Source organism: Homo sapiens, chromosome 8 (genome assembly GCF_000001405.40).
Source record: "Homo sapiens chromosome 8, GRCh38.p14 Primary Assembly".
In the NCBI taxonomy this organism is placed as follows: domain Eukaryota; kingdom Metazoa; phylum Chordata; class Mammalia; order Primates; family Hominidae; genus Homo; species Homo sapiens.
This window is the reverse complement of record NC_000008.11, coordinates 27,687,122-27,713,327: the sequence shown is the minus strand read 5'-3', so window position 1 is coordinate 27,713,327 and position 26,206 is coordinate 27,687,122. Positions and strand designations below refer to the sequence as shown.

The 26,206-nt window shown below is 42.6% G+C and overlaps 1 protein-coding gene, 2 long non-coding RNA genes and 2 other non-coding genes across 7 annotated transcripts in view, besides 2 other annotated features; 2 read left to right on the top strand and 3 right to left on the bottom strand.

Moving 5' to 3' along the window:
• The window catches only part of SCARA3 (scavenger receptor class A member 3), a 100,679-nt gene that overhangs the window by 20,814 nt on the left and 53,659 nt on the right, over positions 1 to 26,206 (bottom strand). For 2 of the 3 annotated variants that reach the window (XM_017013536.3, XM_017013537.2), the window contains exon 6: positions 15,089 to 15,136. In XM_017013536.3, the coding sequence (XP_016869025.1) occupies positions 15,089 to 15,136 (48 nt within the window). Of the gene's footprint in view, positions 1 to 15,039; positions 15,137 to 26,206 lie in introns of those variants that run through there. The other variant, XR_949419.3, reaches the window with a different exon arrangement.
• LOC124901920 (uncharacterized) lies at positions 583 to 12,358 on the bottom strand. The gene is made up of 2 exons (XR_007060869.1): positions 6,647 to 12,358; positions 583 to 701 (listed from the first exon to the last, which is right to left on the bottom strand). It is a non-coding gene; the product is annotated as an uncharacterized LOC124901920 (long non-coding RNA).
• Positions 8,051 to 8,551: an enhancer, noted in NCBI's record as "H3K27ac hESC enhancer chr8:27562294-27562794 (GRCh37/hg19 assembly coordinates)". NCBI's record gives its function as "activates a minimal SCP1, AML or CMV promoter by ChIP-STARR-seq in primed H9 embryonic stem cells {active_cell/tissue: H9 hESC(primed)}" and the evidence as "EXISTENCE:reporter gene assay evidence [ECO:0000049][PMID:30033119]".
• Positions 10,049 to 10,194: a silencer, noted in NCBI's record as "fragment chr8:27560651-27560796 (GRCh37/hg19 assembly coordinates)". NCBI's record gives its function as "represses an EF-1alpha promoter that drives an FKBP-Casp9 reporter gene in an ReSE screen in HepG2 liver carcinoma cells {active_cell/tissue: HepG2}" and the evidence as "EXISTENCE:reporter gene assay evidence [ECO:0000049][PMID:32094911]".
• MIR3622B (microRNA 3622b) lies at positions 11,561 to 11,655 on the top strand. The gene has a single exon (NR_037418.1). It is a non-coding gene; the product is annotated as a microRNA 3622b (primary transcript).
• On the bottom strand, positions 11,569 to 11,651 carry MIR3622A (microRNA 3622a). Its single transcript, NR_037417.1, has one exon. It is a non-coding gene; the product is annotated as a microRNA 3622a (primary transcript).
• Positions 19,139 to 24,072, top strand: LOC124901921 (uncharacterized). Its single transcript, XR_007060870.1, has 3 exons — positions 19,139 to 19,195; positions 22,863 to 23,170; positions 24,006 to 24,072. It is a non-coding gene; the product is annotated as an uncharacterized LOC124901921 (long non-coding RNA).

The window sequence follows — 26,206 nt, the reverse complement described above, 5'->3', positions numbered from 1 at the left end:
GTGAGAACACATCACTTACGTGATATTCTTGCCCTAGATGTAAAACTTGAATCTAATAATGAGAAGACATCAAACACAAACTGTGGGACATTCCACAAAGTGGCTGCCCTATGATCTTCAATAATGTCAAGGATGTAAAGTTTAATAAAGGAAACAAAATGGTCAAATACAACCCATGGTTCTGAATTGGATCTTTTGCTATAAAAGCTGTTATTGAGATCACAACAAAACCTAAATGGAGTATGATTACTAGAAGTTAGTAAAAGTGTCAATGCTAATTTCTTGATTTTGATGGTTGTATTGTGCCTATGAAGGAAAATATCCTTGTTTGGTGAAAATACAACTAAATTATTTGGGAATCATAGGACATTGTATTAACAACTTATGCTCAAATGTTTAGGGGAAACAGTACTTTGTACTTTACTTGGAACTTTTTCATGAGTTTGAGGTTTTTTTTTCAAAACTAAAAAATAGCATTTTAAAATGTATATTTTTATATTTTTACCATAAGTCCCAACAATCATACTCCTTGGTATTTACCCAAAGGAGTTAAAAACTTACGTCTACACAGAAGCCTGCACATGGATGTTTATAGCAGCTTTATTCATCAGTGCCAAAACTTGGAAGCCATCAAGATGTTCTTCAGAGGGGAATGGATAAATAAACTGTGGTACATCCGGACAGAAGAATACCATTCAGTGCTAAAAAGGAAGAGGTATCAAGCCATGAAAAAACATGGAAGAATCTTTTTTTTTTTTTTTTTTTGAGACGGAGTCTCGCTCTGTCACCCAGGCTGGAGTGCAGTGGCGGGATCTCGGCTCACTGCAAGCTCCGCCTCCCGGGTTCACGCCATTCTCCTGCCTCAGCCTCCCAAGTAGCTGAGACTACAGGCGCCCGCCACTACGCCCGGCTAATTTTTTGTATTTTTAGTAGAGACGGGGTTTCACCGTTTTAGCCGGGATGGTCTCGATCTCCTGACCTCGTGATCCGCCCGCCTCGGCCTCCCAAAGTGCTGGGATTACAGGCATGAGCCACCGCGCCCGGCCACATGGAAGAATCTTAAATGCATATTACTAACAGAAAGAAGCCAGCCTGAAAAGCATACATACTGTATGATTCCAACTATGTGACATTCTGAAAAAGGCAAAACTATGAAGACAGTTAAAAGATCACTGGTTTCCAGGGATTAGGATGGAGGGAGGGCTGAAGAAGTGGAACACAGGATTTTTAGGAAAGTGAAAGAGAATTCCAGAAATAAATTATCTTTCTGGAATTTCTGCTAATAAGTTATTGAACTTCTTGTTTTATTCTCCTACTGTAATGGTGGATACCCGTCATTATACGTTTGCCCAAACTTACAGACTGTACAACACCAAGAGTGAACCCTAATGTAAACTATGGACTTTGGGTAATAATGTGTGTCAGTATTGGTTTATCAATTATAACAAACACACCACTGTGGTGGGGGAGGTTAATAATAGGGGAAGCTGTGCATATGTCGGGGCAGGGAGTATATGGGAACTCTGTACTTTCCTCTAAATTTTGCTGTGAATTTAAAACTGCTCTAAAAAAGGTCTATTTTAAATATATATAATAATTTAAATTATGATAAGTTTTTGTTATTTTAAACACATTAATAAATACAAAAATATATATTTCCTAGCTCTGTCCATCAAAGAGGCTTAGAAGCAATGACCAACCAGTAGCAATGAGTACTTCCTATACCTAGATTATAAATTCTAAATACCATTTTCCACCAAAAGGAATTAGGGTTCTTAAAAGAATTTTGGATTCCAGATGTAAGACAGAAGATATACAAGATAAGCCAAGAAGATGTTATCATTCCAGAAAGCCAGGGAACTATGGAAGACTACTGAGGTTGGTTCAGAGGAATTCAGGAACTAACTTGAGGAGGACAAAGATGGGACTATTTGAGTACAATAAGAAAAATAAGTGCAATGGATTGAAATGCTTCTCTCTGGAAGAGTTCCAGCTAGTAAGTGAAGATGCAATACCAGAATCACCATTTTGCAAACCCCTTATGAGCTAATGGAGCACTAGACAATGATCACCAATGTCTACTAACATCATGAAAAGAGAGCCCAGGGCCTGGTGTGGTGGCTCACGCCTGTAATCCCAGCACCTTGGGAGGCTGCGGTGGGCAGATCACCTGAGGTCAGGAATTTGAGACCAGCCTGACCAACATGGAGAAACCCCATCTCTACTAAAAATACAGAATTAGTCGGGCGTGGTGGCAGATGCCTGTAATCCCAGCTACTTGGGAGGCTGAGGCAGGAGAATCGCTTGAACCCGGGAGGCAGAGGTTGCAGTGAGCTGAGATTGTGCCACTGCACTCCAGCCTGGGCAACAAGAGGGGAACTCCCTCTCAAAAAAAAAAAAAAAAAAAAAAAATCACCTATGAGAGATTCTTGCTCGAAATCATATCTCACATCTATAGATCTAACTTTCAGTTTACAGGAAAGATCTGGAACAGCAGAACATGTTTTAGAAATACCATCCGCACAACCCAGAATGTGAGAAACTATAGGAAAAATGGCCTGGTTTCTTCAACAAATAATCTTTGCAAGGAAAAAGAAAAAAGAGGGAGTGGAAACCTACAAATTTAAAGAGACTTGAGAGACATCAAGTAAAGGTGATATGTAGATTTCGGAAATTTGAACACTCACTGGAAATTTGATGATATTATGGATTTCTTCAAAACAATCCGTTTGTTTTGGAAAGTGGAGTGGCAATGAGGCAGTTGAAAGACGTGCGGCCATGGGGTGATAGTTTTCGTTCATCCGGGTACTTAATCGGTACTTAATTGTTCATTGATCTTTACTTTCGTTATGCTTTGAATTTTTTCAATAACAAGCTTAAGGAGTGGTTGTGAGGGTTACATGTCTGAGGTAATGTATGCAAAAGAGGCTGTATGTATAAAATAATATGCGAATGTATGGCAATATTGTTGTTATTTTCAATTCCTTCTCCTGAAGAGGATTTTTCTTGGCCCCACACTATAAAGATATTGCGAAAAGGAGCATGGGGGAATTATTCAAGCATAAGAGAAATCTCTCCTTTTTTTTTTTTTTTTTTTTGAGACGGAGTCTCGCTCTGTCGCCCAGGCTGGAGTGCAGTGGCACCATCTCAGCTAACTGCAGCCTCTGCCTCCCAGGTTCAAGCAGTTCTCCTGCCTCAGCCTCCCGAGCAGCTGGGACTACAGGCATGCACCACCACACCCTACTAATTTTTTGTATTTGTAGTAGAGACGCGGTTTCAGCATGTTGGCCAGGATGGTCTTGATCTCCTGACCTCATGATCCGCCCCCCTTAGCCTCCCAAAGTGCTGAGATTACAGGCGTCAGCGTCTCTCTTTGATTTTCTGTAATCAAATACCACTGAATCTGCTGACCTGGGGATCCTGACAGCTGGGTCCTAAGGCAGAACTGCCTGGGTCACTCCTTCAACCACCTGCAGGGAGGGTGATCTGGAGGGAGGGAAAGGAAGTGGGGATAGTGGGTGGCATCTGGCTAAGTGATGAAGTAGGTGAATCACAGTTGGCTGGAACCAGGCATCAGCACTGGGTGGGGCCTGGCAAATGACACAGCTGGATTTCCTGGCTCCAGCCCTGGCCAGCATCCCATGTCTCTGGGCATCTTGGGAAGCCAGCAGCTGCCTGCAGGACAAAGGAGCACCACTGCCCCTCCAGATTTAGGGGAATTTGAGGGTGAGCAGTTGAATCTGAGCTGGCTTCTATTAGGACTTGCACACAAACAGCCCCCAAGCGCCTCCCCCTGCCTCAGTGCTGGGTCTCAACACTACTACCCAAACACATGCATGGTTGGAGCCTCCAGAACCCAATGGTATCTGTTAAAGAGAAAATCAGGGTGGTATGGAAACCCAGGTGAGTGTGTGGAGTCTACAGTGCTGTGGGCAGAAGGCCAGGGCCTTCATTCTGGTCCTGCCTCTTCCTGGCCCGGTCAAGGACTTCTCCTCCCTGGGCCCAAGTTACCCCAAAACTTGGGTAAGGCCCAGAAATCTTTTCTTGTAAAAATCCCTCAGGTAATTCTCATGATCACTCACAGGTTAGAAACCTGCACCCAACAAGACTGTCACTAAATCTTCTTTTAACTTGGGCTTCTGGAGAATGCGCCTGCCTGATTCCTTGCCTTTCTCTGAAGACTATGTTCATTTAATTAAATAAATAAATATGAGAAATGCTCCTTCAGGTGGAGAGAAAAGGAAAGTCAACATTTCTCGAGGACATATTCTGTGCTGGGTACTTTACCAACTTTATCTCTGTGCTTCCTACCCAGAAGACAGTCATAGACGTAGATGTGTTTCAGCAACTTGCCTTTCCCCGTTTTCCTGACTTTGAAACCAAAAAAGCTACTCTGTTAGAGACTTCCACACACTGTAAGGGAGGGAAAGTGGGAATAGAAACTCACATTTCTTTTTTGCTATTTTATTTACATTTAATTTTTTTAACTAAAAAAGTTGTATAAAAGAAACATCCAGATGTGGTTTTTAAAGTCTATAATGAACAAGTTATTATCCCCCAAACCTCAGCATCACACAATATACCCATGTAACAAACCTCCACATGTACCCCCTGAATGTAAAATAAAAATTGAAAAATTTTTTAAAGAAGTTATTATCTGTCTCATATCTCTCCACATTCTGAAACTGTCCGCTAACCCACCACCAAGACGATTTTTTTCACCCTTTCTTTTGGTAGTTATCTCTATAATATTATGCTTATTCTTTTTTCTTGATATGTCATTTTAGACATTTATAGGCATATTTAGACAAATTTTTTGTTATGATAGAGTTACGAGATTGTGTAGCTCTTACTATGTCCCCCACCCCATCCTCTCAATATAGTTGAATCACTATTTTTTATTTTAAGTTAGCAGTCAGGGTTTACATCATTAAGACTTTTTAAACATTGTTTGTAGCAGAGTCAAGTAGTATGCTATGATTACATTCTCTTTCCTTTGTAGCTTTTTGTTTTTCCTTGAGTTATTAATTGCCCATATTTTCACCTGCATAATGTTCTATACTTCTTTTCAAAGGATCCATTGTATAACCTATCATATCATTTATGTTATCAACCTATGTTTTTCCTAAAGATCTCCCTTTCAGAGCCCTCTATTCTTCTCCAGTTTGGACGGCTATTCCTTAGGTCTGCTGCAAAGGGTCCTCTAAGACTTTTCTTTATTGTGCCTCTGAGTTGCAACCCCATTTCCTGGAATATATGACTTTTTCCATCTGGGTTGATGCTTTTGCTTTGCTGGCCTATTCTCTTATAGTTTTCCAAGACAGTGTGGATGGGAAGTAAATTTTCTGAATCTTTGCATGTCTGGCAAACATTTCTCCTGCTCTCACAATTAGCTGATAGATTAACTGGGTACAGAAATGCAGATTGAAGATAATTTTCTCCCATCATTTTTAGATGCATTTGCTCTGGAGACATTCAGTACCATTCTTCTTATTTTTTTTTTTTTGGAAGTTTTTCAGTTCTTTTCTTTATGCTTGATGTTCTCAAATTTTAAGATCAAACTCCTACATTTTAGGCCTTTTAAAATTTTTTGTGGCAGGCTCTTGGCAGGTTCTTTTAATTCAGTGACATGCACTCTTTAGTTCTGGAAAATTTTCTTATTTATTTGATAATTTCTTTCCATTTTCTCTCTCTCTTTCTGGAATTTCTGCTAGTAAGTTATTGAACTTCTGGTTTTATTCCCTAATGTTCTTACCTTTTCTCTGTTAGTCCTCATTTTTTTTCTTCTACTTTTTGGGAGATGTCCTCAAGAACATATTCTGGCCTTTCTGTTGAATGTTTTTTTTTGACTTATTAATTTTCAAAATCTATTATTAAATGATTGTTCCTTTTTTCATAGCAGCTAGTTCTTGTTTTATGGCCTTATATTTCTCTGACCATATCAGACTGGTTGTCTGTTCATACTTAAGAATGAGAAACTACAAAAGTTGATTGGAAGGTCTGTGTAGCTTATCACTTTGGGGTAACAGGGAAGAGACTTTGCCATTCCTTTGGGGGACTTCAACCCCACTCAAAACAATTAGTACCTGGAGGTTTTATTCCTTGTAGACTCTTCAGTTTCTCTAAAGAATCATATTTTCCAACCTGAGGGAAAGATGCCCATCAGCAGGTAGGACAAAAGGAAGGGGCTGGAGAACTGACTACCCCATGGTTAGGCTTTCAATTGATACCTCCTTTTCAGCCCTAAATCTCACCCTCACTATTTGGTGCTTGGAGCCCCAAGTCCATGACCTCTTCTGTTCTTTTTCTCCTAAGAATAACCCCTGTCTCTTGCCTAAGGAGTAGGTATTTGACTGCTAGCATTCTGAAGATAGGTGGCTTTCCATCCTATGCCCTCATTTTCCTCCTATACCTCACCTTGCCCTCCTCCCTACCTGGTGCCTTCACGTTCTGAGCTACTTCAGAGCTCTGTGGGGGTGATTGATTCTTTTCTCATAGGTATCACTCCTAACTAGAACATTCCTCCTCCTCAGTCCAAAAATAGTCCCGACTCCTCCCACCTCCAAGCCTCCTCTTCTTCCACTGCAACATCCACTCAGTCCCCAAGTTTCATCCATTCTCCCTCTCCAACACCTCTCACATTTACCTGCTTTTGTCTTCTCTGCCTTCTCTTCACCTCCACAGCTCAGACCTCTGCTGCCTCTTGCCTGGATCCCTCCAACAGCTTCCCTCTAACAGTCTTTTCCCCATCTCGTGTCCTTCTCTCCTCCAATCAGTTCTGCACCCTCTAGCCACAGAAATCTGATCATCTCATTCCCCTACTGGAAACCTTCATTCAAGTGTAGACTCAGGATGAAATCTAAACTCAAGCATGAGGACGGGCATGGTGGCTCATGCCTGTAATCCCAGCATTTTGGGAGGCCGAGGCGGGCAGATCACTCGAGGTCAGGAGTTCAAAACCAGCCTGGCCAACACGGCGAAAACCCATCTCTACCAAAAATACAAAATTAGCTGGGCATGGTGGTGCACATCTGTAATCCCAGCTACTCGGGAGGCTGAGGCAGGAGAATGTTGAATCCAGGAGGCAGAGTTTGCAGTGAGTGAGCCAAGATCATGCCACCGCACTCCAGCTTTGGTGACAGAGCAAGACTCTGTCTCAAAACAAAAACAAAAACAAACAAATAAACTCAAGCATGCTATACAAGGCCTCCATAGTCAGACCTTCACTCCCTTCTTCAGCCTCACCCTCCCTGAGCTCCTTTTTACCAAACATGTTCCATCTCCAGCCATGCTGAACTATTTCTGTTCCTCCATGATGCCATGCTCTCTCTCACCACCAGCTCTGTGCACACATTGTTTTTTTCTTTTTCATGAAGCCGTGCTCTCTCTCACCACCAGCTCTGTGCACACATTGCTTTTTCTTTCTTTTTGCAAGAACTCCTACTTATCTTGCAAGTCTCAACTTAGATGTTCCTTCTTACAGAAAGATTTTTTGGTCTCAAGACTAGTTTATACTCCTATCCTTCCCAGTGTATATCGCTAGGGTAGAAATTCTCATTCTGTTTTAGAAGAACCTTTTTGCTTGTCCTCACTAAGCTACAACTTCCTTTGGAGCAGGGACAATAGGGACAATAGTTTGATTGCTGTTGTATGCACGGTGCGTGGCACATGGTACACACTAAGTAAATACTTATTGAACAAATGAATACATGAAGAAATGACTGGAGCCCCATGTCAGGTGCAAAAGGTGAGGTTTGGAAGGGCCAAGTAAATTACTCAAGGTCACCCAGCCGGAATCTGAACTAAGATCCCTCTGGCTTCACAGCCAAGGAGCCCCTGTCGGGTGATGGGGCACCTCATCTTTTGAGCTGCATTTGCTTTGCTAGTCCCTGGCCTCTGGCTCAGAGATGTTGACATTGGCTCCCCTAGCTCAGTGGGCATTAAATTCCTATGACGTTCAGGGGTAGTTTCTCTCTCCAGCTGGCCCCACTTGGGTCTGCCAAGGTCCCGCAGCTGCTTTCCATCAGCCCAGTGCCTGTCACAAGAGACCCCAGCCCTGGAGGGAGCCAGGTGGGGTCACCCCCTTTCTCTACCAGGCTCCTTCGACCTGCCCCTCTTTCTCCTCTCCCTTCCTCAATACCCCATTGGAACATGCATTTTCTCTCCCTCTGGCACCCAGAGAGACACAGGCTATGAGAGTTTTGATGGGGGATGCAGGGTGGAAAGTGTGAGGGAGGCAGCATTTTGGTACCCTCGCTGATTGCTCCCTTAATGAGCTGTGGTGTGAGTTCCGTTTTGGCCAAATTCACAGGATGCTGCCCTCCTGGGGAGAAGTTGGGGCTGAAAGTTGAGATTATTTTGCAGCTTCTGAAGCAAACATCCACTCAGAAAACATGATGTCACCAAGGATGGTTGGATTACCCTGCAGGGCGCTGGCAGCAAAGACTCCCTCCCATCTCCAGCTCAGCCTCCCTCCAGAGAGGACACGTAGAACACTCATTTCCAAACAGTAGGCATGACGCTTCTGAAATGAGGTGCCCAGTGTCTTCTGTGTGTGCGTGTGTGTGTGTGTGTGATGGAATCCTAGAAACTAGTCATATGAAACAACCCCCATTGCAGACGCTCTGTGAATGCTGTTAGTAACCAACTAACTGTCTACACAGCTGGAACCACAGCTAGTTCAGGAAACTTCCCTCTAGTCCAGCCCAACCCAGGGTCTTTCACACGGACCTGAAGGAAGGTGAGGAGTGTGCTAACTTGATGACTGATACTTTGATATTTATTTTGTCTTTGCGAGGCAGCACTGAGATCCAGGAATCCGTGAAGATATTCACTATTTTAAAAAATTAAATTTATTCTTTAAAATTATTATTATACATTTTGAGGTGGGGTATTGCTCTGTCACCCAGGCTGGAGTGCAGTGGCATAATCATAGCTCATTGCAGCCTTGACTTCCTGGGCTCAAGCAATCCTTCCTCCTAAGTCTCCTGAGTAGCTGAGACTACAGATGCGTGCCACTAAGCCTGGTTAATTTTTTCAATTTTTGTAGAGACAAGGTCTTGCTGTGTTGCTCAGGCTGGTCTCAAACTCCTGGGCTCAAGTGATCCTCCTGCCTCTGCCTCTCAAAGCACTGGAATTATAGGCATGAGCTGCTGTACCTGGCCAATATTCACTCTTCTTGTTAATATTCTTTCTCCTTTCCCTCTTTCACTCCTTTCCTTTAGCTTTGACTTCTTCCTTACTTTGGATGTTCCTCTTTCCCCTTTCTCCCTTCCTTCTGCTTCCTCTTCCTTGCCCTCTCTCCCCTTAAGCTAATTACTTTTAACCTTTATTTATCCATTATTAAATGCCAGCCCCTCATCCTGCTTAACACCTTATGTGTAGTGTATCATTTCATCAAAACTCTTATTTTCCATTATGTTTTTTTCCCCACAGGTATTTTTTTCTCACTGTAAAAAAAAAAAAAAAAAAAAAAAAAAAAAAGTAGAAAGCACAGGTAAGCAAAAAACAAAAAACCACACACAAAACCACAAACTTTAAGTTACCCACAATCACATTGTTGCCATTTTGCTGTAGGTTCTCCCAGATTTCTGTCCAAGAATGAACCCTCCAGAACCTCCTAGGAGATTCTTTCCAGGTCCGGAGTCCTGGGTTTGTAGTTCAAGCCCCATCTTGAAGGTGCTGTGCAACCTTGAACAGATCCCCCCCAACCCTAGTCTCAGTTTATCCAGACTGCACCTGCATCCTGGGAACAGGCATGGCTGTGCGTTTGATAACCACACCCATTGCCGGTTGGGAGACCAGGTTTTTCTCTCAAGGGAGCCGCAGTCTGTTGCCTTTTGCCACCATTTTGCAAATCAGATCTCAATTCTGGGCCCACCCAGCCACCCCATCCTGTCCCCTCCAGCCTCACCCTGACTTCTCAGCTTTCACTTTTTTCTGCTGATGGGTTGGAAATTGCTACTCTCCTGTTTTCTCTCCACCTGCACTAACAAACCCCAAGTGCTGCCCCCAGCACGAATCCCTGGTTCCCGGGTCCTCTGCCAGGTGCAGGTGCTGCGGCTTCATGTTCAAAGGATTCTGGGCACTGCGCTTTCTCCCTTGATGTGCCCAGCCAGGCTGCGGGGATGGGAGGCTCCTCTCCTGTGCGGCTCAGGCTGTTTTTCTCCCCAGAGCCTTGTGGCCAAGTTTCCGTGGCCCTGTGCTCTGGACCCTGGGCCAGGGCTGTGGTGTGGGCAGCCTTGAGGCCCTGGGTTCCATGCCAGTTCTCGACAGGAAGGCCTTTCATGTGGGTGCCAGCTGGCCTCTGGGCCCAGCTTCGGGCCTGGCAGGGCCTGAGGAGGGAGAGCTGCGAGTGTGAAAAACACTTTCTGTTTGGGAGCTGGTTGGTGGGAAGGAAAGACAAGAGGGAGGGGGACAGGCAGGTCAAAGAGCTTACCCAGGTTTAGAGGAGCGAGGCCAAGGTGCCCCTGTAGAAATGAGGCGATTCGGCCTTTCCTCCCCAAAAAGAGGTCTTGGCAGAGATACAAGGAAGCAAAGTCTGTTGGGTGGGGATGGAAAACACTTTCCCAAGCCTGCCTTCACTCCCTCCCTCCCCCGGGCTCACTGAGCCTAATCAGGTCAAGCACGCAGCTCCCTGCCAGACACTGTGGCATTGTTTAAAGCCGCTGCCTCCCCAGTACCCTCTCCCCACAGAACTGAGTTCTGACAAAGGAGGCCCTGAGGGACAGGGCTGAGAGGACAGAGACCCAAGGTCCAGGGACGCGTCACTCCCCTATGGCTCGCTCTCCTTCCCACTGGTTATTGTTTTTCTACCCTGGACCCCAGGGAGAAAAGGAGCCAGGCCCTGGCAAACCTGAAGGCTGTTTGTGTTGACATAAAGGCACTTTCTGAGCAAACAGCACTGAAAGGTCAGCAGTAACCCCAGGCAGTGCCAGGACTGGGCAGCGGGTTTGGGAGGTGTGGAGAGAAAGGAAACTGTGGGCCACTTGGGGTCGGATGACTTCACCAGAAGAAGAAGAAAAGCCAGCCAGGCTGCAGGGAGGGGGCTTCCTGGAGATGGAGCCCTGGAAGACCTTGGCTACCCCATAAAACTTAAATAGGACTTGAAGTCAGTTGTTTATCTGCTTTCCAGAACACCAATGACATGGGAGAGAGGCTGGCGCCCTAGGCAGGACCCAAGCGAGCCTGGTGTCTGGGGCAGGATCTGCCACTACGCTTGGCTTTCTCACTGTAGGACTCAGTTTGCATGGGAAACCAAAGGAGAATTTCAAGTGTCCTACTCACACATATTCTAGCCTTTCAGGAAACATTTACTGAGCATACATCACCCACCTGATAGGGGGCTAAGCCTGGGAATGCTTTCAGAGATGAGTAGCACAAGGTCTCAGATAAGGTGACCCATTTTCCCCGTTTGCCTGGGCCTCCCAGTTTTAGCACTGAACATCCCTTAGCTCAGGAAGCCCAGGAAACCCTTTGGTTTGGGGCATACTTGGTTGGTTGGTCACCCTAGCATCAGTCATCAAGCAGCTCACGATCTGCAAACAATGGTAGACATACGAGTGATATAATAGAGGGTGCACAGGCATGGGAGGTCAGGTGAGCTCAGCTCCCTGCCTCACCTGAGCTCCCGTGCCTGTGCACCCTCTATTGGCTATGATCACACCACTGCACTCCAGCCTGGGTGACAAAACAAGACCTTGCCACTAAAAAAAAGAGAAAGAAAGAAAAGAAAGAAAGAGAGAAAGAGAAAGAAAGAGAGGAAGGAAGGAAGGAAAGAAAAAGCTACTTTTTGAATGAAAGAATGAAAAAGCATCTCTCAGCTAGGAAATGTCTTGCCATGATGACACCTGTGTTCAATGGGGAGCTACGAGAACATTTTAAAAAAATCTACTGTACTGAGGCATAATTTACATATAATACAATGCATACACTTCAATGTAGACTTTGATGAATTTTAACAAATATATACACTCAGTAACTGTTAAATCAATCAAAATATTTATAGCACCCCAGAAACTTCCCTATTTCTCTTTTGTAGTTAATCCCATCCTAACCATCCCATCCCAGGTAACCACTTACCTGATTTCTGTAACTATAGATTCATTTTAGTTTTTCTAGAACATCATCTCAATGGAATAATACAGTCTGTACTCTTTTGAGTGACTTCCTCTACTCAATGTGCTTTTGAGATTTATCCAAGTTGGTTTGCATATCACTAGTTTTTTTGTTTTTTTTTTACTGGTGAGTATGGATTTATCATAATTTTTCCATGCATTTGCCTATTGATGAACATTTGACTTGTTTCCAGTTTTTTGCTATTCTGGACAATGCTGTTGTGAATAGTATGTACAAATTTTGGTATAGAAAAACATTTTCATTTCTCTTGGGTAAAAACCCAGAAGTGAAATTGCTGGATCATAGGTTAAGTATGTGTTCAGATTTATAGGAAATCACCTAACTTTTCCAAAAGGGTTGTACCACTTCACAGTTTCACCATTAATGCATGAGAGTTCTCGTTGCTCCACATCCTCACAACATTTTGTATTGTTGGTTTTTGAAATTTTAGCCATTCTAGTGGTATCTCAGAGTGGTTTCATTTGCATTTCCCTGATGATTAATGAAGCTGGAACACTTTTTCATGTGCTTACATGGTCATTCATATACTTTTCTTGCAAAATGTCTGTTCATGTCTTTCATCTTTTTTTTTTTTTTTATTTTTGAGGTAGAGTTTTGCTCTGTTGCTTAGGCTGGAGTGCAGTGGTGTGATCTCAGCTCACTGCAACTTCCACCTCCTGGGTTCAAGTGATTTTCCTGCCTCACCCTTCCAAGTAGCTGGGACTACAGGAGCCCACCACCATGCCCAGCTAATTTTTGTATTTTTAGTAGAGACAGGGTTTCACCATGTTGGCCAGGCTGTTCTTGAACTCCTGGCCTCCAGTGATTTGCCCATCTCGGCCTCCCAAAGTGCTGGGACTTTCATCCATTTTTAATTTGAGCTGCATGTCTTTTTCTTATTGAGATGTATGAGTTCTTTATGTATCCTGAAAGCAAGTCCTTTGTCTCATATATGTATTGCAAATATTTTCTCTTATTCTGGGATTTTTTTTCTTTTCATGTTCTTAAAGGGATATTTTAAAGAATAGAGGGTTTTAATTTTGATATAATCCAATTTATCAAAATTTTTCTCTTATGGTTTGTGACTTTCATGACCATATTTCTTAAAGTCACAAAAATTATCTTATGTATTTTTTAAGAAGTTTTATAGATTTAGTTTTTACATTTAGGTTTGTGGTCCATATCAGATGAATTTTTGTGTATTATATGAGGTAATATCAAAGTTTGTTTTTTGCATATAAAAATCATTTGTTGAAAAGACTTTGAAATCATTGGTGTCTTTGGGGAAAATCAATTGATATATATGTGTAAATCTATTTCTGGATCTCAATGTGGTTCAATTGATCTATATGTCTGTCCTTACACCATTATCTCATTGTCTTAATTACTGCTGCTTTAGAGTAAGTCTTTTTTTTTCTTTCTGAAATTTTAAATTTTTATTTTTTGTAGAGTTGGGGTCTCACTATATTGTCTAGGCTGGTCTGGAACTTTTGGGATCAAGTGATCCTCCTGCCTGAGCCTCCCAAAGTGCTGGGATTGCAGGTGTGAGCCTCCATGACAGACCTAGAGAACGTCTGGATATTATGTAGTATAGGCCCTCCAACTGAACTCTTCTTCAAAATTCTGTGGATTTTCTAGATCCTTTGCACTTTTATATACATTTTTAGAATCAGTTTTGTCAGTGTCTTTAAAAACAAGGCTGCCGAGGCCTGGCACAGTGGCTTACGCCTGTAATCCCAACAACTCATGAAGCTGAGGTGGGAGGGTCACTTGAGCCCAGGAGGTCAAGGCTGCAGTGGACTATGATCATGCCACTGCACTCCAGCCTGGGTGACAGAGCAAGACTCTGTCATTTACAAAAAAGAAAGAAAGAAAAATAAGGCTGCTGGGATTTTGATTGGAAGTGTGTAGGATATGTAAAAGAATATAGGAAAATGAACGTCTTTTTTTTTTTTTAATTTTTATTTGAGACGGAGTCTTGCTCTGTCACCCAGGCTGGAGTGCAGTGGCGCAATCTCGGCTCACTGCAAGCTCCGCCTCCTGGGTTCCCACTATTCTTCTGCCTCAGCCTCCCAAGTAGCTGGGACTACAGGCGCCCGCCACCATGCCCGGCTAATTTTTTGTATTTTTAGTAGAGACAGGGTTTCACCATGTTAGCCAGGATGGTCTCGATCTCCTGACCTCATGATCCACCTGCCTCGGCCTCCCAGAGTGCTGAGATTACAGGCGTGAGCCACTGTGCCCAGCCATGAACGTCTTATTAATGTGAGTTTTCTTATACATGAACATGAGATATATATATAGATAGACAGATAGATAGATACCACTATATATATATATCTCCATTTATAAAGATATTTAAAAATTTCAGCAATATTCTGTACTTTTTACTATAAAGATCATGCCCATCCTTTACTAAATTCATTCCTATATATTTTATATTTTTATGCTGTTGCTAAATGATTACTTAATTTTAATTTTCTTATTTTTTGCTCCTAGTATATAGAGATGCAATGGGTTTTTGTATATTGGCCTTCTATATTATGATATTGGTAAATCACTTTTTAATAATTGCCATTTTCTTGTAAATTCCCTAGGATTTTCTATACAAACAACTATGCTGTCTGTGAATAAATACAGCTTTATATTTTTCCTTCCAATATGTATTTCTTTGTTTGTCTTATTTCGTTGGGGAGGACCTCTAGTCAAATAGAATAAAAGTGTTGGGAGATGAGATCCTTGCCTTATTTCTGGTTTATAAGGGAAAACATTTAGACTTCCACCATTAAATTTGCAATTAGCTATCCCTGGTGCTCTTGTTGTCATATCAACTTGACACATTATAAATCCAATCTCCAGTCTTATCTTAAAATAGTCTTAAAATAATCTTCCCTTACAATAGTCAGTTGTCTCTCAAGAGAATTCAGAGAGAAAAAAATCCATGCATTTTAATATTTACGTTCTAATTTACCACTTCTGCTGCTCTCCACTCCTTCTTGCAGATCCAAGTTTCTGTTTCCTGTTAATATAAAGAATACCCTTTAGCAATTTTTATAGTACAGATATACTGGCTATGAATTCTGTGAGCTTTCATTGATCTGAAAATGTCTTTGTTTTCCTCTCATTTCTGAAGGCTATTTCCACTGGATATAAAATTTTGTTGTTAACAGTATTTTCTTTTTAAAATATCAAATATTTCAGATTTCTGGTTCTGAGGATATAGCAGAGGTGACGTGGGATTGAAAGTGTATTAGTCTGTTCTCACACTGCTAATAGAGACATACCCAAGACGGGTAATTTACAAAGGAAAGAGGTTTAATGGACTCATAGGTCTGTATGGCTGGGGAGGCCTCACAATCATGGTGGAAGGCAAACGAGTAGCAAAGGCACGTCTTACATGGATGATGGCAGGCAAAGAGAGAGTGAGAACCAAGTGAAAGGGGTTTCCCCTTATAAAACCATCAGATCTTGTGAGACTTATTCACTACCAGGAGAACAGTATGAGGAAACCACACCCATGATTCAAGTATCTCCCACCGGGTCCCTCCCACAACACATAGGAATTACGGGATCTATATTTCAAGATGAGATTTGGGTGGGGACACAGCCAAACCATATCGGGAGGGTTCTTTCTGGAAGCACTGCCCAAGGCAGGTCTGGTGGGGCTCTGAGTAGGGCACAGTGGGATATGATATTTACTTTCACGACAAGAAAGTCCTGTTGCTAGAATTGGGTCCAAATGAAGTACTAGAGAAGCAAAAACAACAATTGTTCAGCTCCATTTCCCCTAAGTCTGCAGGCTTCTCAGTAGTTGATGCCTCAGGCCACATCTGCAACATGAGTTACAGGGCATTTCGGGAAATGCAGGCGTGGGACGCCTGCTCAGAGGCCTCAGTGATGCTTGATAAGGAGAATTTAGATGACATGGGCTATAAATTGGAGAACGATGTCATCATGCATGCTCTCACTAAGCAGCTGCAGGCTGCGTCTGCTGAGGCCCCATCCACCATCTTCCCTTTGCTCTGGGAAGTGAACTGCCTTAGGACACACTGGAAGAAAGGATGCCTTTTACAGACACTGAGTGTCTACTATGAATAAATCCTCTGATGGCTATCTCAGGGTTGTTCTTTCTTTTTTCTTTTTTTAAATCAGGTTTTTCAGGATACAACTTACATACCATAAAATTCACCCATTTTAAGTGTATAATTCCATGATTTTTAGTTCATTTATACAACTGTGCAACCATTACCATGATATCATTTTAGAACATTTTCATCACCTCAAAAAGAAACCTCATGCCCAATGATAGTCATTCTCCATTCCCATCACTGCCCCTGGCAATGACTAATCTACTTTCTGTCTTTCTAGATTTGCCTCTTCTGGACAATTCATATAAATAGAATCATAAAATATGTAAAACAAAAACAAACTGGTCAGGCTCAGTGGTTCACCTGTAATCTAAAAGGGCCTATAATCTCAGCACCTTGGGAGGCTGAGGCAGGAGGATCACTTGAGGACAATAGTTTGAGACCAGCAGTTTGAGACCAGCCTGGGCAAGAGTGAGACTCTGTCTCTACAAAAAAAAAAAAAAAAATTAGCCAGGTGTGTTGGTAGGCACCTGTAGTCCTAGCTACTTAGGAGGCAGAGGCAAGAGGATTGCCTGAGCTCAGAAGTTTGAGGCTGCAGTGAGCCTTGTCACTGCACTCCAGCCTGGGTGACAGAGTGAGACTCTGTCTCCAAAAAAATTTAAAAGCAAAACAAAACAAAACAAAAAATACTGATTCAAAGATTTCATTTCATTGTTTCTGATCTCTACTATTTCTGATGAGATTCAGTGGTTTTTAATAACAGTGTTCCTCTGTATGTGCTTTTATTTCTAGCTGTTTTAAATATTTTCTCTTGGCCAGGCATGATGGCTCATGCTTGTAATCCCAGCATTTTGGAAGGCCAAGGTGGGAGGATTGCTTGAGGCCAGGAGCTCGAGACCAGCCTCAGAAACACAGTAAAACCTTGTCTCTACAAAAATATTTAAAATTAGCCAGGCATGGTGGCATGTGCCTTTAGTCCCAGCTACTTGGGAGGCTGGGGCAGGAGGATTGCTTGAGCCCAGGAGTTCAAGGCCACAGTGAGCTATGATCATGCCACTACACTCCAGCCTGGGCAAAATCTTGTCTCAAAAAAAAAAAATTAAAATAAAAAAAATCTTTATTCCTAGTTTTGAGCAGTTTGAGTAGTAGGTGCATAAGTGCAATTTTTGTTTGTATTTATCCTCAAAGTTTTTTTTTGAGTGTCCAATTTCATGTGTGTTAGAACATTCGATATTTTCCCATATGCCCATGAAGTTCTGTTTATTTTTCTACTGTATTTTTTCTTTATTCTTTAGTGTGGATATATTCTCTTGATTTGTCTTTAAGTTTATGACTTTTTTCATTTCCAATGTGCCATTAAATTCATTCAATAAACGTTTTAATTTATTTATTGTAATTTTCAATTTCAGAATTTCCATTTGTTCTTTTTTATAACTCCCAATTCTCTGCGGAGATTCCCTATTTTGTCACTCATTATGACGATATTTTCCTTTAGTTCTTTGAACATATTATCATATTTTAGTGTTTGTCTGCTAATATTTAGGTTACCTCTGGATTAGTTTCTATTGCCTAAATTTTTCTTGACAATGGGTCACATTTTTCTGGTTTATTTTTCCTATAGTTAGTAATTTTTTATTTGCTATTGTGTGTCAGTTCTCTAAGTGTGTCAATGACATGCTTTAGAAACTATGGAGTCTGTTATTTACCCGTGAAGAACATTAATTTTTGGTCCAGCATACACTTCAGTCACTAGCTGATCCCCTTGAACTTGTCTTGACTGTATTTTATGCTTTGTTATGGCAAATCTGTGAAAAACCCAGACCCTCTAACTTCATAGCACTCAATCTCCAAACTCAGATTTATTTCAGGGCTTGGTTTTAGTTAGTTAGTTTCTTTTTAGGGTGGATCTATAATAGGCTATACTCCAGGGTGTAGTCCTTACTCCTAAAGCACAGCTTCTGTGATGTCTCAGTCTGATGCCTGAGATATTAACAAGGTGTTAATGGCATCTCTCCATTCTGGCTGGTCTGGATCTCCAATATCCCCAGGGCTTCTTTATCTCTTATATTTGGTTCAATTCATAACTCCTTATCAGCCTCTCTGGTAATCCTACACGATCTTACCTTGTGCATGTGCATCGAAACCCTCATCTAAGACCCCATGCGTGACCCAAACCTACAACTGTAGGGCCCCTTCCCTGCACATCTCTCTCTTCTTCACAATGCCTTGCCCTTCAGATTCCAGTTGCTTCAGCTGCCCCAAACTCTGAATTCTTGACTCCCCAGCTCAGCAAGGGGTCATCTCCTAGTAGGCCACCTATAGGCACAAATCTCTGTCTTTCTGTGGTCAACTTTCATTCCTCCTCCCTGTCCTCTGCTATCCTGGATGGGCCAAGTTCACAAATTAGGTCATAAACCACCTGTACATACCAAATTATCATGGAGGTAAGCTCCTTGCTGATCAGAGTACTTCTTACTCCCATACACTCCCCTAATTCTGCTTCTCAACCGTCCATTTCCTCAACTCCCTGCTCATTCCTTTCTTCTTCAACACATGGTTTTCCTCACCTTACTTTCTTTCCTAGGATATTAAAATAGGATAAAATATGTCATTACTGTATTTTAAAAATTATTATTTTTAAAATTTCTTGTTTCTTGGGCCACATGAATATGTATCTCTATATCTCTGTGTAGATCAGTTTGTATATACATGAGCACATGGCGGGTGTTCCTGCATATGCTGGTAAGAGTGTATGTGGCATATTTTCCGTAGAATGAAGTTGGAAGAATAAGGCTGGAGGATATTCAGTGGGAGAGAACTACCTTTGCTAAGCAGTGACTCTGAGTCCAGGCATAAAATATACTCTTTATGTAGAAATCTGATTTAATCCTCATTATTCCCCTATGAAGTAAGGATTCTTACTTTCATTTTTCAGAAAGAAAACAGAGGCTTAATGAGGCAAAGGCAACATGTCCAAGACCACACAGCTGGTAAGCAACAGAGCAAGGATTCAAATTGTGAACCCAAAATATCTGAGACAGGTCTCAGTTAATTTAGAAAGTTTATTTTGTCAAGGTTAAGAATGCACCTGTGACATAGCCTCAGGAGGTCCTGATGACTTGTGCCCAAAGTGGTTGGATACAGCTGGCTTTTACACATTTTATGGAGACATAATTCATCAAACGATACCTGTAAGACGTACATTGGTTCTATCTGGAAGGGTAGAACAACTTGAAGGAGGGGCTTCCAGGTCATAGGTAGATTTAAACACTTTCTGATTGGCAATTGGTTGAAAGAGTTATTATCAGTAGAAAGGAATGTCTGGATTACAAGAAGGGGTTGTGGAGACCTAGTTTTTATCATGCAGATCAAGCCTCCAGGTAGCAGGCTTTAGACAGAATGGACCGTAAGTGTTTCTTATTAGACTTAAGATCTGTGTTGATGTTAATGCTGAGGGGTATAATGAGGCATGTCCAACCCCCACTTCCATCATGGCCTGACCAAGATTTTTATGTAATTCTGGAATGCCCTTGGCTGAGAGGAGTGATCCTTTCAGATAGTTGGGGGAGCTTTAGAATTTTATATATATTTTTTACAAAACCAACATCTCTCCAGCTCAAATCAGAACTCTTTCCACTCTATAATAGTCTCTCCCCAGAAAGAGTCAGTTAAGAAATGTGATCAAAAGGTATGTAGTTCCCTGACTTATGAAGTTGGAATTTTAAACCCTGTAAAATATTTGAAGATATTTATTCTGAGCCAAATATGAGTGACTATGGCCGGAGGCACAGTCTCAAGAGGTCCTAAGAACATGTGCCCAATGTTGTCAGGCTACAGTTTGGTTTCATACATTTTAGGAGGACTTAAGACATTAATCAATACATATAAGGTGTACATTGGTTTGATCCAGAAAGGCAGGACAACCTAAAGTTGGGGAGGGGTTTCAGGTCATAGGTGGATAAAGATTTTCTTTTCTTTTTCTTTTTTTTTTTTTTTTTGAGACAGAGTCTCTCTCTGTTCCCCAGGCTGGAGTGCAGTGGCATGATGTTGGCTCACTACAGCCTCTGCCTCCTGGGTTCAAGTGGTTCTCTGCCTCAGCCTCCCAACTTGCTGGGACTACAAGTGCACAGCACCATACCTGGCTAATTTTTGTATTTTTTTGTAGAGACAGGGTTTTGCCATGTTGCCTGAGCTGGTCTCGATCTCCTGGCCTCAAGTGATGCACGTGCCTTGGCCTCTCAAGGTGCTGGGATTACAGGCATGAGCCACCATACCCGGCCTAGATTAAGATTTTCTGATTGAAAGAGTTAAGTTATTATCTAAAGACCTGGAATCAATAGAAAGGAGTGTCTGGGTTAAGATAAGGGGTTGTGCAGGCCAACATTCTTATTATGTAGGTGAAGCTTCCAGGCAGCAGGCTTCAGAGAGAATAGATTGTAATTTTTTTTAATCAGGCTTAAAAAGATACCAGACACTTAGTTAATTCTCTCCTGGATCAGGGAAAGATCTGGAAAGGAAAGAAGATTCTCTACAGAATGTAGATTTTCCCCACCAGAGACAGCTTTGCAGGACCATTTCAAAATTCATAACAGATATATATTTGGGGTAAAATACATTGATTTCTTTCAGGACCTGCTGTCACATGATGTATCTTATTGCTACAAATAGTCTGTTCTATCAGTTTTGTTTTTTTTTTTTTTTTTGAGATAGGGTTCACTCCTGTTGCCCAGGCTGGAGGGCAATGACGTGATCTCAGCTCACCACAACCTTCACCTCCCAGGTTCAAGTGATTCTCCTGCCACAGCCTCCCGAGTATCTGGGATTACAGGCATGTGCCACCACACCCGGCTAATTTTGTATTTTTAGTAGAGACGGGGGTTTCTCCATGTTGGTCAGGCTGGTCTCGAACTCCCGACCTCAGGTGATCCACCCAAAGTGCTGGGATTACAGGTGTGAGACACCTTACATGGCCTGTTCTATCAGTTTTAAGATCTCTGTTTTAATGTTAATGCTGGTGGTTGTGCTTGAATTCCAAAGGGAGGAGGGTATAATGAGGTATGTCCAACTCCCCCTTCCCATCATGGCTGAACTGGTTTTTCAGGTTAATTTTGGAATGCCCTTGGCTGAGAGGAGGGGTCCATTCCTTTGTTTGGGGGGTTTGGAACTTTATTTTTGGTTTACAGAATGGACAGGAGATACATAGGGAAGTAGACTCATGATCTGGCGTTGTCTTATTGGAATTGCTGGATCTTAGGGGTCTTTTATGATAACCTCCTACCTGAAACCTGAGTGATCTGGGAGGCTTTGTGATCAGGCACTGGTGAATGATAAGGGTGGGAGAACTTTGTTGAGAGGATCAGAGATTTGAGTAATGAAGAAGTGCAGAGAGGGAATCATAGGACACACAAGGAAATGGGCCCAAGGTCTAGGAGAAAAAGGGATTGAGGATGAAGTCAGGAGGAAGAACAGAACCCTCACATGACAAAAGGGCTATTTGTGCACTGAAATTTACAGGAATTGCCAGAGGTAGGATTAATGCAGCAGACGGAGGGACTTCCCAAAAGAGACAGCGGTTCACTGGGTGCAAGCAGCCTGCCCTTGGCTCCACAGGGGCTGCCAACGTGAACTATAATCAGGATGAAACAAGCAGTCAGGCTGGAAACGTTAGCATGTTAGGAAAGTATATTGAAATGAACATGATGTCATGACAAGCACAAAAAGAAGGGAATCAGTTTGAAAAAGAGAAGAAAGTAAAAGGAAGTAAGAATCTCTCTGAGATTCTGTCACTCTGGCCAAGGAAGTAAGACTGGGGTTGGGGTGGGGTCCAGACGCATGATCCTTAGAAAGCTGTGCTTTCTAATGAGGACTGATGAATTCCTAGGCTTTCCCCAAACTGGATTAAATGTAAATACTCCTTGCTTTGGAAAGGCAGCCTGCCTTCTTTACTGTTTTATATTTTAAAATATAAATGATTGCTTAAATTTCACAAAATTCAAAAGGGGCAGAAGAGTATACAGGGAAAAGTTGCTCTCCCTTCTATATCTGATCTTCAGTTCCCTTTTCCAAAGGCAGATGCTATTACCAGGCTTTTACGGATCTTTTCAAAGGTAGTCTCAGCATTTAAAAACATCTATGCATATGGCCTGGCGTGGTGGCTTATGCCTGTAATCCCAGCACATTGGGTGTCTAAGGAGGGAGGATCACTTCATGCTGGAAGGTTGAGACTAGCCTGAGCAATATACAGAGACCTCCTCTCCAAAAAAAATTAAAAAATTAGCCAGGCATGGTGGTGTGTGCCTATAGCCAGGCAGAGGTGGGAGGATCCCTTGAGCCCAGGAATTTGAGGCTACAGTGAGCTATGATCTTGCCACTGCACTACAGCCTGGGTGACAGAACGAGACCCTGTCTTATAAAAAAAAAATTTAAAAACTGTATATATTTATACTTTCACACAAATGATAGCTCTTTTGCACATTGCTTTTTAAAACTTTTTAACTTTTTAAATGTATTTTTGAAATTATTCCTTATCAGTACATAAAGAGCTGTCTTATTACTTTTTAACAGTCACATAATTTTCCATCTTAGAAATGTATCATAATTTAGGTAGCCTCCTGTTAATGGAAATTTAGGTTAATTTACAATCTTTTGCTATTACAGACTGCTTCAATAAATATCCTTGAACATACATCACGTCATGTGTGTGAGAGAAAGAGGGAGACAGAGAGGCAGAGAGATACAGAAGGAGAGAATGAGAGAGAGAAGACGTGAAGATGCAGAGTCAAGGGCACGAGCGTTTTGAGATGTGGAGAATATTTGCCCCCTTCTTTAAATGTGCGCTGGCTGCTCATGTGCTGACTAGGTGGGGCTGGCCTGTGGACTCCCTGACTGATGGGAGGAAACTGTCAGAGATACCAAGATATACGCTGTTTGTCTCAGTTCTTGCGACAACACGGTGAGGCATGGAGGTGAGTAATTCCTGTATTTTATCCCAGAGTGTTAAGATCAGAAGGGGCTAGAAATTCCAAAGTAACACAGTGACTTCTGATCAGTCTCTTGGGTACTCTAATACTGGAAAAGGTAGCCTCTCTGAATAACAGATACAGATATTTGGTCTCTAGAAGTAAGTCGTTTAAAAAAATCTTTATTGTATTTATTTATTTTGGTAGAGATGAGGTCTTGCTATGTTGTCCAGGCTGGTCTTGAATTCCTGGCCTCAAGAAATCCTCCTGGGTCAACTTCCCAAAGTGCTAAGATTACCAGCTTGAGCCACCGTGCCCAGCCTAGAAGGAAGTTGTGCTCATGATAAATACATAAACCGCCTTTCTGGCCCACACTGGTCTTTAGGATGGGCCCAGGATCCTCTGCTAGGTCCGGCCCAGCCTAAGCATAGCTGAGAGAGCACCGGGCCTCCCATCCCACTAGGTTCTGTGAGGACCTGGGGCCCTGCAAGGACCCAGCTGGGCCATCCCCAAACACACGGTTCCCAGCTTCTAGAAAAATTAGGTGTTTTCTCGATGCTCACACACCCACATCCAAACACAACAGCACTTGTGTCTTCGAAGAGAGGGCCTTGGTAATCCTGTCCTCCCACCCAGATCTGCTCTCTGTGCTGTGGGGAGGTTATGAGATATGAGTGGGTCACCGCTCAGTGCATTCCCAGCATCGCGTTGGGTCAGTGGCTTAGCTTGGAACCGGCTCAGGATAATCATGCTTTTCATCAGCCGCTCCCGTTTCCCTTCCTCGTTCCTCTTCCTTGTGAACTTCCACCCCCAGCCTGGCATAAAGCCCATTCACTCTCAGCATTCTAGGTTCTGGGGAAACAAAAGTAATTCCCACTGTCTCCACAAGCCCGCCCTTCCGTCGGAACTGGGGGTCCTTAGACCCTGGACCCAGAGAGTGGCTCCATTTCCTGTGGACACTTCCGGAACTGGTTTATCAAATCTCACTTCTTCGGATGCTTTTGGGCTGCCTGGACACACACACTCCTCCCAGACTCCGCTTTGGATTTTTGGGCCTGTTCTGATTGACTTGCTGTGGTCACTAACATTTTCAGGATGTTTCCCATGGAATTCCAGGTTCTAAGGAGGTGCCTTGGGGGCTGCTGCAGAGAGCCTCTTTAAACACAGAGCTCCCCAGCCCCTTCTTATAAAACACTGTGAAATATATCATACTTTTAAAAAAGAACAAAAACATACGCATGTATGTACAGTTGAAAAATAATTATAAAGCCAATACCTGTGTAACCTTCACCCAGGTCAAGAAATAAAATATTGTCAGAACCCTAAAAGCCCCGTGTGGCCCTCCCTAACCTACTTTAGATGTTTAAAGTTGCAGCTAAGAGCTCCCTTCCTAAGCAAGTCTGAAAAATGCTGGGTTAAGGGATTCCTTCCTGAATGCCCCTATAGCCATATTCACTATTGAATCTTGTACATTCCTGTTTTCTCTCCAGGTCTCAGAAGCTCTGAAACTTTGCTCTCTCCCTACCCCTGACTTCTACCTCCCAGGCTCAAGCAATCCTCTCACCTCAGCCTCCCGAGTAGCTGGGACTATAGGCACGTGCCACCATGCCTAGCTAACTTTTTTATTGTTTGTAGAGACAGAATCTCACTGTGTTGCCCAGGCTGGTCTTGAACTCCTGCACTCAAGCGATCCTCCTACCTCAGCCTCCCAAAGTACTGGGATTACAGGTGTGAATCACTGCACCTGGCTGGTTTTTTTTTTTTGCCAATATCAAGGACTTCCAGTTTTTTTCTTTATATTTATCTGTTGCTTTGTATTCACTTTCCCCCTCCTTCCCCATCATAAGTCATCACTGACCATCTATCATGAATACAACAAATCATTCCCTCCTGAAGATGGAAATAATTGTAGAGTACAAACCATACACAGGCCACTAATTACAGGGACAGACTGGTTACAGAATCCTGTTCTGTTTATCATTTTTCATTAGAATACTCAAAATGCAGGAGACATTTAATAAATATTTTTGAATAGTTGAAAGTTTCTTGGAACAGCTCCTACTATTCCGGTCCAGAATGTTCTTCCTCTTGGTGACTAAAGAAGCCATCAGATTCCTAGTTCTTCCTTGCTTTTCATTTTCTTTTTTGAGGTGGAGTTTCACTCTTGTCGCCCAGGCTAGAGTGCAGTGGTGCGATCTCAGCTCACTGCAACCTCCGCCTCCCGGGTTCAAGCAATTCTCCCACCTCAGCCTCCTGAGCAGCTGGGATTACAGGTGCCTGCCACCACACCCAGCTAATTTTTGTATTTTTAGTAGAAACGGGTTTCGCCATGTTAGCCAGGCTGGTCTCGAACTCCTGACCTCAGGAGATCCACCTGCCTTGGCCTCCCAAAGTGCTGGGATTACAGGCATTGGCCACCGTGCCTGGCCTGCTTTTTTTTTTTCTAAGTTAAGCATCCTCTGCCCCTCTTGGGCCAGACACCAGAGAGTTAGTCCCTCTGTACCTTTTACTATTTAGGTTTCTTTATTGAAATTTATAAGACCTCCAGTTCAGTGTTGAATAAGTGATAAATGCAGGCAGACTTTTGTCTTGTTCTTGATTCTAAAGACAATGCATTCTCTTCCTGCCTTCTGTCCTCCCTTTTTCTCTCTGCCTTTCTCTGTCTTTCTCACTCTCATTCTCTCTGTCTCTCTCCTAGCTCTCTTTCTTATTCTCTATTTTTATCATTCCCTCTACCCAGGGTCTTTTATTAATGAATATCCTGCAAGATTGAGGAAGGAGACTGGTTAGAGCAGGGGAAGTGTGGCTGTATTCAGAAACTCTAATATTGGCATCAGGCTCTGTGTCTCTACTTTCTTATGGTGGCTTCTTTCTGAGGTAGGGTCTTCTCTCCTATTCAGACAAATGGCCACAACAACTCCAGGCTTTCAGTCTTCTAAATTAGCAACCCAGAGAAGAGAAAGTGCCTCTTTTCTAATACTTCCAGCAAAATTCTGGGAGTGGACACTCTTTGGCTAATTGGTTCAACCTGGGTAAAAAGCC